We start from the raw sequence: 10,057 nt of genomic DNA, 5'->3' as shown, positions 1-10,057 counted from the left end.
TAGGTTAAAAATTAGTTTTTTTTTTAACTGGCAATGTGATAACAATGAGCTGGCATCAATACTTTATAAATATCATTAGAAACAAAGGCATACAATATATAGGTAACACACTAAGAAACCAAAATTAATAGTTACTATGTAAGCATGTGAATTCTTACTGTAAAACCAAGGGTATCTGAGACAGGTGGCAATTAATTTAGAAGTTTATTTTGCCAAGGTTAAGGACATGCCTGGAAGAAAACAACACAGAATCACAGAAACAGTATGTGGTCTGTGACTTTCTCCAAAGATGAATTTGAGGGTTTCAATATTTAGAGGAAAAGCAGGCTGGAGGGGAAAGAGGAAGAGTATGGTAATCCACGTGTTGTAAGGGAAAAGTAGCAGGTAGGGGAATAGTCGATTATGTATTGTCTTGCTCTCGGTAAATTGGCACTTCATGTAAGATAAGGTAGAAACGAGTAACCTGTGGAGTTTTTCCTTTCTTTCTCTCTCTTTCTTCCTTTCTTTCTTTCTTTCTTTCTGTCTTTCTTTCTTTCTTTCTTTCTTTCTTTCTTTCTTTCTTTCTTTCTTTCTTTCTTTTTTTCCTTCCTTCCTTCCTTCCTTCCTTCTTTCTTTCTTTCTTTCTTTCTTTCTTTCTTTCTTTCTTTGTTCCTTTCTTTCTTTCTCTTTCTTTTTCTTTCTTTCTTACTTGCCAGAGTCTCTCTTTCTTTTTACTTTACTTTACTTTACTTTCTTTCTTGCCAGAGTCTCACTCTGTCGCCCAGGCGGGAGTGCAGAGGTGTGACCTCGGTTCACTACAACCTCCGCCTCCCGGGTTCAAGCGATTCTCCTGCTTCCTCCTCCCAAGCAGCTGGAATTACAAGCATCTGCCACCACGCCCTGCTAATTTCTTTCTTTCTTTCTTTTTTTTTTTTTTTTGTATTTTTAGTAGAACTGAGGTTTTGCCATGTTGGACAGCCTGGTCTTGAACTCCTGACCTCAAGTGATCCACCCACCTTGGCCTCACAAAGCGCTGGGATTACAGGCATGAGCCAACACACCTGGCCATCTACGGAGATTTTTAATCTTTTCTCTGTAGCTATCTGCTTAGGATCCAACGGAAAGTCAGTATCTTGCACGACTCAGCTTTCAGTTTAATTTGTTTTTTCTTTTGGCACAGTGTATTGGAATCCTGAGTTTTTATTTTCCTTTCACATTATTACTATGGAGGAGGCACTAGACTCACATTATTTCTAATTTTCAACAATCCCAGAAGATAAGTATTATCACCCTCATTTGCACATGAAGAACTTAGATTCAGAGAAGTTAAAATGATTTGTCCAAAGCTACATGGTTAATAAGTGGTGGAGTCAGAATATGAAACCAAGTCTGCCTGACGCTAAAGACTTAGGTTTTCTACAACACTAAATGAGCTTCACAAACAGTATGCAGGGACCACCTACATGCCTTGTATGAGTAACCAGCACACAGAACTAATGAGTGGCTCTCAGGCCTAGGAATAGCCAGGTAGGGCCAGTTGCCCCTGGCTGTAAGCAGCCTCATTTGTTTATAACTTTACTTGTGTGGTTTTCTCTGTGCCACGATTTAAAAATGATCAGGAAGTCCTACACAGTGCACATGCTACTTCCCTGAATTGTCTCAGGATCCAAATACCACTACTAGACATTTGACTGAGACAAAAGAACCAGACAATATCTTTTAGATGACTTATTAAAGGAGATAGACACAGAATCAGGTAGGGCATTTCCAAGGACACTAAATCAAAACAGAAATGAGTCTCTTTTTCCCATCACGGCTGGGAAAGGGAAAGCACAAAATACAAGGAGATATTTCTAAAACAAAATGGTTAAAATAGAGGGGCACACTATTTATTAAAACTGAAATATGTCAGTCAGAAAGGAAAATTCTTGGGCGGGGCCCAGTGGCTCACACCTGTAATCCCAGCACTGTGGGAGGCCTAGGTGGGCAGATCACTTGAAGTCAGGAGTTCAAGAGCAGCCTGGCCAACATGGTGAAACCCTGTCTCTATAAAAAATAAAAATTAGCTGGGCGTGGTGGCGCATGCCTTTAGTCCCAGCTAATTGGGAGGCTGAGGCACGAGAATCGCTTGAACCCGGGAGGCAGAAGTCGCAGTGAGCTGAGATCATGTCACTGCACTCTAGCCTGGGCAACAGAGCAAGACTTTTCTCTAAGGAAGAAAAGAAAGGAGAATTCTTTGAAAGGGACGATTTTATATAAAATGTGTATTCTGGTAAGGGGAAAAGTATGAATAACTCAAAAATCATGAGAACCCATAATGAAGATGCTTGGAGACAGACCCAGATCAAGAGCCTCATCTTGTCTCTTATCAGCTGTGCAGTCTTGGATATCTTATTTATCCTTTTTTTTTTCTTTTGACAGAGTCTTGCTCTGTCACCCAGGATGGAGTGCAGTGGCACGATCTCAGCTCACTGCAACCTCCACCTCCTGGGTTCAAGCGATTCTCCAGCCTCTGCCTCCCGAGTAGCTGGGATTACAGGCATGTGCCACCACGCCCAGCTAATTTTGTATTTTTAGTAGAAACGGGGTTTCACCATGTTGGCCAGGCTGGCCTTGAACTCCTGACCTCAAGTGATCTGCCCACCTCGGCCTCCCAGAGCGCTGGGATTACAGGTGTGAGCCACCGTGCCTGGCCTATTCATGCTTTGTAAGCTCTGTTGTCTCATCTGTGAAATGGAGATTACATTAGTACTCACCTTATAACATGAAGATTAAATGAGAAAATCCATAAATAATGCTAAACACAGAACCTGCCATATAAATTTAGTCTTAATCATTATTATCATTAAAAGGCTAGAAGAATCTAGTCTCTGCTTCCAGTTGGGACTAGTGTTTATAGACCCACTTTGGGAAGGCAGATTAATGTTATAAACTCAAATGGTTCCAATTGTACATACTCTCAGATTCCAGCCTCTTGATTCAGAATGTACTCCTTTCTTTTTGTTCTGCTTGGTTGAATTTTGTTTCTCTTCCTCTTAATATCCTGACCACAGGCTCAGTGAATCCCTGTGGTTGTTTTTATCAATCCTCTCTACAGTTTCCTCCTTATAGCCACTTCCCCACAAGCTGAGACAGCCAGGCACTACAGTCAGCTGCCAACCCCAAAGGAGAGGGAAGCCTGGCAGAGAAGGCAAGCACCAGGAAAACAAACAAAAAGGATGATTGACTGATGGAGGCTCTGGTTGGAGAGGCCTCAGCCAGGTCTAAGCATCAGCCACACCTCCTCAGGGAATTCAGGTCTTTGTGTTAAAGCATCATCATCTCTAACAACCCATTAGAAATGCAAATACCCGGCCAAGAGTGGTGGCTCACACCTGTAATCCCAGCACTTTGGGAGGCCAAAGTGGGTGGATCACTTCAGCCAGGGAGGAGGGAGAGAGTAACATTTCTAAGTTTTATGGCTTGCTTTGGGGAAGAGGGATTTTGGTTTCTATGACTTGCTTCAGGGGAGAAGGAAGGGTAAAGGACAGAAGGGCAAGAGAATGTCAGAGAGACCTTGCTTCTGAGGTCTTCCAATCTCCCTTAGTTCAAAGCACTCAGCAGGCCAAAGTGCCATATATTGGGGTATTGTTTCTGTGCCCCAGCTGGCAACACTGGGTAAAATTGGAAATTAGTCAATGCTTATCATCATTAGGAACATGGTGGTTAGAACCAGGAAGAACTTGTAAAAAGTATCCAATTATTGGTGAAAGAACAGACAAATAGATTAATGGAACAGAATAGGGAGCCCCCAAATAGGCTCACATGAATAGAGTCAACTGATCTTTCACAAAGAAGCAAATGCAAAGCAACTGAGAAAAGTCATTAAAGACCCTCGTTTCAGAGGAGTACTGCCCCACACCCAGGAGGAAGGAATGGTACACAGGCCAAGAAGAATCTAAACACACAGGCCTTGCTAAGTTTTCCCCATCAGTCTGTTAGCATCAGACTCTACCCTTTATCCAGTCACATTTCTACAGGGCTAGGCATTCCTCATTGAACCTAAGCATAAAAACAGAGTCTTCCCTGAGTCTTTGGGTCTTCATTTCAGAAGGCTCCTGCATCATGTAAAATTTTGATAAAATAAAATAAAACTTTGACAAACTTTTCTCTTGCTAACTCATCTTTTGTTATAGGAGTGTCAGCTATGACGCTCATGATGGGCAAGGAAAGTTATCACAACTTTCCACCTCTATGAAGCTCCAGATTCTACTCTCTCTTCAATGATGATTTTCAGTATGAGGGTGCCCAGTCTGCCACAACCTGTCAGGGACAGAAGAGAGTTGAGATCTTAGGTAACCCCTGGGCAGGCTCATCTCTGGGGCAACACACAGAAGGGTGAGGACAAAGAGATAGCTTACTGTAAGTGCCACCCTAAAAAGGTGCTAGCCAGGAAGGAAGATGTAAGCCATCCCCTGGAGAGAAAGCAGAAGGGTCGAGAACCGGAAATGTCCATTAATCAGGTATCCAAAGAAGAAGGACTGATGTGTGAGGAGTCAGAAGCAGAAGGGAGGGTGCCGGGTCCAGGGCCAGTTTGAAACAAATCGTGTCAGCCAGGCATGGTGGCTCACGCCTGTAATCCCAACACTTTGGGAGGCTGAGGCAGCCAGATCACTTGAAGTCAGGAGTTCGAGACCAGTCTGACCAGCATAGTAAAACCCCATCTCTACTAAAAATGTAAAAATTAGCCAGCTGTGGTGTCACACACCTGTAATCGCAGCTACTTGGGAGGCTGAGGCAGGAGAATTGCTTGAACCCAGGAGGTGGAGGTTGCAGTGAGCCAAGATCATGCCACTGCACTCCAGCCTGGGCAGCAAAGCAAGACTCTGTCAAAAAAGAAAAAAGAAAAAAGAAAAAAGAAACAAATCTTGCCACCATCAAGTTCCCATCATCCATTTCTCTTTGTGCATTTATTGGCAGATTGATAAGGCAGGACAGATCCTAAAAGTGATTGGAATGTAAATAAAGGAGATCTCTGCCTCTACTAAATAAATACACAATAAAAATTAAAAGGAGATCTCCTCTGACCAAGGTATTTCAGTAAAGTTGCAAATATGAAGGTAAGTATTGCTGCTGGTTGAGTAGTCTTATGGAAAAGCCCTTCAATCGGGTCGCGGTTTATCGTTCTAGAAACTGGGAAAAGTATTTTGTACGAGAGGACAGTGGAGGTTCCTGCTCAGCATCTGTTCTTTCCTGTGGCCTCCAGTCTCAGTAGAGACCCTAGGAGAAGAGTTTACTGTGACTGGAGCAGAAGAGCAGGCTGCAGTTAACTTGGTCCCTGGCAGAATTACAGAAGTAAAATGAGGTCTTCAGGAATCACTGGAGGGAAATGATACTGAGAGTGGCAATAGCAACAAATTCTGAGCAGGAAAGCAATAACTCATGGGGATCAACTAGTGACTGATTTACTCAACCCATATGCAGTGCTCTAACCCAATGTTGACTCTGCTAGGTAAGAAAGATGGGGTGGGGATGGATGGGAGGAAGAAATGAAGAAATGAGAAGAACAGTGGTCTCTGTCCTGAGGAACCCTCATTACAATGGGAAAGATAGGATATTTGCAGGAGACAGATATAAAAACAATACAAACCTATCCTGTGCTTCACCTGAATTAGAGCAGAAAGTCGTAGAATTAAAAATTGAGGCTGGGCACGATGCCTGATGCCTGTAATCCCAGCACTTTGGGAGGCCGAGGCAGGTGGATCACCTCAGCTCAGGAGTTTGAGACCAGCCTGGCAAACATGGTGAAACCCCATCTCTACTAAAAATACAAAAAATTAGCCAGGGGTTGTGGCACGTGCCTGTAATCCCAACTATTTGGAAGGCTGAGACAGGAGAATTGCTTGAACCCGGGAGGTGGAGGTTGTAGTGAGCCGAGATCACGCCATTGCACTCCTGCCTGGGTGACAGAGTAAGCGACTCAGTCTCAAAATAAATAAATAAATAAATAAATAAAAATTGAGGAAAAGTGTGAGTGTTAGAAGAAACAATTGATTATAGAGCCAAAATATCTAATCAGAAAGATTGTGATTTCAGACATATCTGCATAATCTCTCTTCTTTACCTCCTCCCCCTGTAGCCCACTATCACCCTGCATTGACAGCCAAGAGCTGAGAGCCCCCGGAGCTGATCAGATTTCACTAGCAATCACAGCACACAACTTGGATGAGTGGCAATATGCTTTCCTCTAGAATGTGAAGGTGGAAGGCCCAAGAATCGAGCTTGGAGTGATAGTCCTGGCAGTAGGTCTCCCCTACTTGGCCTCCCATAGGCTTTTCCAACCACCCAGCATGATCGGTCCCTGTCCCCTGTCCAACAGCTGAGAATATGGTCAGAAAAGAGCCCTCCAATTTGAAGGGTAGTTCTGAATATTAAGGTACTTCTGAATAGTAAGAAGTAATAACATAAATATATGAAGAATATAGTAGCTCAGAGAAACAGGCTTGCACCATGAAGGGTTAGGACAGTCATAAAATGGAAATCATGTTTATATGAGAAACAACATAGCCTCAAGGGAAACAAAAGCCAGTATCAGGCTTTGGTGAAAACTTAGAACAAGGAGAGATTGTAAACTAACCAGACGTGTGAAGAGCAAATAGCAGAGCCTACCTACATAGCACAACTCCTGCCTGCATGGCCATCAGGACACAGTCAGTGCCGACCTCAAGGACACTTTTGATGATAACTTTTAAAACATACCATTTTACTTTCTGCTTTTTAGATTATCAAGTCATGTGAGAAACAGATAACTTCATCTAATTTCTGTGCTTAAATTCATTATGCCCTGCCATTCTGGTGATTTTTCATTTTGGACTTGGCCATTTTGATTTGTGGTATAAAAACAGCTGTGAAAACCAGCCTCATTAAAATGTTTTCATTAGAAACACCCCCCCAAAAAAACCTGTATTAATTAGAAACACCTGAAAAAAAACAGATAATACACAAAGTGATAACTTTTCTTGAACCCGTCAGAGTGCTGAGGTAGTGAGGCAACCAAGTACCCTGAAATCTAAGAAAAGACAGGTGTTTCTAAAGAGGGCTAGGATATGAGCACAGGCTCACCTGTAAGACAGCGTGGAAGGAAGGCAGGGCTACCATTCAAATGGGTTAGAAGAATTCAGCTAAAATTTTTAATAAATCGCTGAAAGCCAGATGTGGCCAAGAACTGAGAGCTCATGATACAAGGGCCATTCCTACGCATTTGAAGCATCTTCATGGGCCTCCACCAGAGCTCATGAAAAGCTTGTGGCCAGGGAATACATACCTAGGTAATGGAGCAGCCATCATTCTGGGAAAGGCATGAAGCCCACCTGAATCCTTTTTTCTAAGGAACAAATGTCTTAAATCACTAGAATAAGGGCCCAGGGCACAGAGCAGAGGAAAAGAGCCCATTACACCTGGAGGAAAGGAACAGGAAAAAACAACAACAACAACAACAACAAAAAACAACTCTCTACCCTTGGGGAAGGGGCTGGAAACCATCCCAAGCCTAGATGATTACAGGTCTTCTACCATTGAGTGAGATCTAGGATCACTGAAAAAGCCCTATCCTCAAGATCCAGGGACAGAAGGCCCGACTAAAACTGAGGCGGGACTAGAACAGCTGTCACAGCCCCACACGTTCTTCTTAGCCACTGCCCTGAAAAAATCAACAAGAACAGCGGCTATTGCAGCAAAGAAAGAGTTTAATAATCACAGGGCCAGCCATGTGAAGAGAGCAAGCAGCAATTTCTCAAACACATCTCCCTGACAATTCAGAGACTAGGGTTTTTCATGGGTACTTTGGTGGGCAGGAGGCTTGGAAACTGGAACAATCGATTGGCTGGGGATGAAATTACAGGGGTGTCTAAAGCTGTCTTCACGCAGCCAAGTCAGTTCCCAGGAGTGGGTGGATCTCAGGACCTAGTGGCGTCTCTTGGTCTACTGAAATGTTGAATCTGAAAAATACCTCGAAGACTCGTTCTTCAGGGTTCACAATAGTGATGTTATCTATAGGAGTAGTTGGGGAAGTTATAAATTTTGCAATCCCCGGTTACGTGACTCTGGTGCAGTAAGCAACATGCTACTGTAAGGACACATGGAAAGCAAGGAAGTGAGGAAGACACACTAAGCAATGGCAGGTCATTGTTTAACTGAGTCTATTCTTCAGCAAAGTTAAAGTCCCTACCGTATTTTAACCTTGTCTTATGAATGCAGTTTCAATCTTGAACAAGGAGGGAGTTCAGTTTCCCTTGACTCAAAGTTTAACTATAAACGTCACTCATAGCTATTTTGACCTCCATGCTAGAATAAGAAAAAAAAAACTCGCCTGTGGGTTAGAAGCAGGATGGAGTCAGTCATGTTAGATTTCTCTCTTTATTCGTTTATTTTTTATTTTTATTTATTTATTTATTTATTTATTGAGATGGAGTCTTGCTCTGTCACCCAGGCTGGAGTGCAGTGGTGGGATCTTGGCTCACTGCAAACTCTGCCTCCCTGGTTCAAGCAATTCTCCACCTGCCTCAGCCTCCCAAGTAACTGGGATTACAGGCGCCTGCCGCCACTCCCAGCTAATTTTGTAGTTTTAGTAGAGACTGGATTTCACCATCTTGGCCAGGCTGGTCTCGAACTTCTGACCTCAGGTGATCCACCTGCCTCAGCTTCCCAAAGTGCTGGGATTACAAACATGAGCCACCACGCCCAGCCAGATTTCTCTCCTTATTTATATATATATATTCTGCAAAGGCAATTTCACAATGGATAAATCTCTGCCCTACCTCCCAGGCTAGCAAGTACTGAATAAGAAGCAAAAGTACTCTGCCACTGAAGAGAGAATCTCTGAGGTGCAGGCACATACTTTAGAAAGTCCTAAAGTTGGGGTAGTGCAGGAAAATTGAGAAAATACCATCCAGGAGTACCGGCGGCTCTTGGTCTACTGAAATGCTGCCTCCACCCAAGCACAAGATAACACTAGAAGAATTTGAAGGTAACTATGGCAATAATAAAACCCGAACCCAGCTCAACTCTTGACTAGATTGGCCCACACTAAGAGCTTACCAGAATAAGACGGGTTCTCATTTCTAATCATAAATGCAATTTACCTCAGTTCCTACTGTCCCACATATAATGTCCAGAATTCAATAAAAACAATGAGCCAACACAGAAAAGCAAGGTTTAAAAATCCTGTCAACAGACAATGCAAGCAATAGAAACTGCTAAAAGATGATTCAGATGTTGGTACTATCAAATAGGGAATTTTAAAATCAAACCATTAATTACAACCATATTTAACATGTTAAAGGCTCTAGTGGAAAAGGTAGACAACATACATAAACAGATGGGGAATTTCAGCAGAAAGATAGAAACTATACGAAGAGTCAAATGGAAATATTAGCAAATTTTGAAACAGAGTAAAAGAGAAGAAGAATGTATTAGGCAGGGTCATCAGTAGATGCCATACAGCTGAGAAAAAAAAAATCAGTACTTTGAAAATGGGTTCATAGAAATTACCCAAACTGAAATTCAAGGAATAAAAAAAAAGAAAATAGAACAGAACACCCAAGAACTGTGGGACAATGTAAACTGGCCTAACATATATGTAATTGAAATCCCAGAGAATAGAGAAAGAATGGGAGAGAGGAAACATTTAAAGAGAAAATGGCCAACAATTTTTCAAAAATAATGGAAGTTATCAAACCACAAATCCAAGAAGGACAAAGAAGCATAGGCAGACTAAAATACACACACACACACACACACACACACACACACACACACTCCTAAACATATCATATTTAAACTGCTGAAAATCACAGATAAATAGAGCATTATTAAAATGCCCATAGATCTTTATTTTATTTTATTTTATTTCAGTTTTTGAGATGGAGTTTCGCTCTTGTTGCCCAGGCTGGAGTGCAATGGCGCAATCTCAGCTCACCACAACCTCTGCCTCCTGGGTTCAAGCAATTCTCCTGCCTCACCCTCCCAATTAGCTGGGATTACAGGCATGCGCCATCACGACTGGCTAATTTTGTGTTTTTAGTAGAGATGGGGTTTCTCC

The 10,057-nt window shown here is 42.5% G+C and overlaps 1 annotated feature.

Annotated features, from left to right (window-relative positions):
* Nucleotides 894-1,836: an enhancer, noted in NCBI's record as "H3K27ac-H3K4me1 hESC enhancer chr1:161547932-161548874 (GRCh37/hg19 assembly coordinates)". NCBI's record gives its function as "activates a minimal SCP1, AML or CMV promoter by ChIP-STARR-seq in primed H9 embryonic stem cells {active_cell/tissue: H9 hESC(primed)}" and the evidence as "EXISTENCE:reporter gene assay evidence [ECO:0000049][PMID:30033119]".

The sequence above is a fragment of the Homo sapiens genome, chromosome 1, assembly GCF_000001405.40.
Source record: "Homo sapiens chromosome 1, GRCh38.p14 Primary Assembly".
Lineage (NCBI taxonomy): Eukaryota > Metazoa > Chordata > Mammalia > Primates > Hominidae > Homo > Homo sapiens.
Note: the sequence above shows the minus strand (reverse complement) of the source record. Positions and strands in the feature narration are given on the sequence as shown.